The sequence below is a fragment of the Homo sapiens genome, chromosome 9, assembly GCF_000001405.40.
Source record: "Homo sapiens chromosome 9, GRCh38.p14 Primary Assembly".
In the NCBI taxonomy this organism is placed as follows: Eukaryota; Metazoa; Chordata; class Mammalia; order Primates; family Hominidae; genus Homo; species Homo sapiens.
This window is the reverse complement of record NC_000009.12, coordinates 39,678,743-39,680,040: the sequence shown is the minus strand read 5'-3', so window position 1 is coordinate 39,680,040 and position 1,298 is coordinate 39,678,743. Positions and strand designations below refer to the sequence as shown.

Genomic DNA, 1,298 nt, shown 5'->3' with positions numbered 1-1,298 from the left:
GGGATATTGGCCTGAAGTTTTCTTTTTCCATTGTTTCTCTGGCAGGTTTTGGTATCAGAATAATGCTGGCCTCATAGAATGAGTGAGGGCTCAGCTCAGGCTCTTTGTTCACTCCCCAGCTTGCAGGCAGCAGGGGCAGGGACCTTGGCAGTGACAATGTTAGAGGGCCTTACACTTATCTCTTGGAGCTCCAACCCAGAGAAATGCAGAGCCTCTGCTAACCAAAATGATCAGCCCGGGGTGGAGTGGCTATGTCACACACCCAAGTTGGAGGCCTTGCCTGGTGGTGAGCAGGGGGTGGGGGCTTACAGGGAAGACAGTCTGGCCTCTTTGGGAAAGAGCAAAGAACCTGAGTGCCTGTGGTATGCTGGAGGTGTAATAAGGCACTCAGGTTCTTTGTTCTTTCCCAACCTGGTGGCAGCAATAGCAGGCACCGCTGTAGCAGTGGTGTCAGAGGGATCGTCAGTTGCCTCTGAGAACTCCACCCCAGAGATACATAAAGCTACTGCCAATGGGAATGATCAGCTGGGGGTGGGGTGGCTGCATGGCAGACCCAATCCAGGGGCCCTGCCTGGTGTAGAGCAGGGGGTCAGGGGTTCACAGGGAAAAGAGACTGGGTTCCTCTCTGTAGGACAGCTGCAGCATGCTGGAGGTACCAGCAAAACAGTCAGGATCTTTGTTCTTTCCCCAGCCCGAGGGCAGCAAGGGCAATATCCCCGCAGCTGAGATGGTAGAGAGCCTTTGGGTCGTCTCTGGGATTTCCTCTCCAGATAAAAGCAGTGCCACCACTGACTGAAGTGCTCAGGCGGGGGCAGGATGACTGTGCTGGGGTCCAGGTTGGGAGGCCCTGCACAGTGAGGAGTAGCAGGGGCAGGAATCCACAGGGGAAATAGTCTGGCTGCTTTCCTGCATGGCAGCTGCACTGCGTTGGAGACACATGATAGTCCTTAGGCTCATCACTTACTCCCTCTGCAGCCTCAGGGCAGTAGGGGTGGGGGCTGCAGCAGCAGCAAAAAGGCGGAACTGTCAGTTAACTCTGGGAGCTCTGGCCCAGGGAAGTGCAGAGTCACTACTAGCCTAAGTGTTCAGGCAGGGGTGTGTTGGCTGCGCTGGGGACCTGGGCCCGTGGGCTTTGGCTGGCAAGGTGTGGCGAAGGTAAGGCCTATAGTCTGTCTGCTCCTCAGCACTGTGAAAGCAGCATGTATCTTGGGAGCGTGCAAGAGGGCCTGGCCTCACCTGCTGGCAGAGCTATGGCAGCTGACCCTGGGATGCTCAGGAGCCCAAGGCCCTTGAGGCTC

The 1,298-nt window shown here is 56.5% G+C and overlaps 1 annotated feature.

Moving 5' to 3' along the window:
- Positions 469–1,094: an enhancer, noted in NCBI's record as "H3K4me1 hESC enhancer chr9:41823965-41824590 (GRCh37/hg19 assembly coordinates)". NCBI's record gives its function as "activates a minimal SCP1, AML or CMV promoter by ChIP-STARR-seq in naive H9 embryonic stem cells {active_cell/tissue: H9 hESC(naive)}" and the evidence as "EXISTENCE:reporter gene assay evidence [ECO:0000049][PMID:30033119]".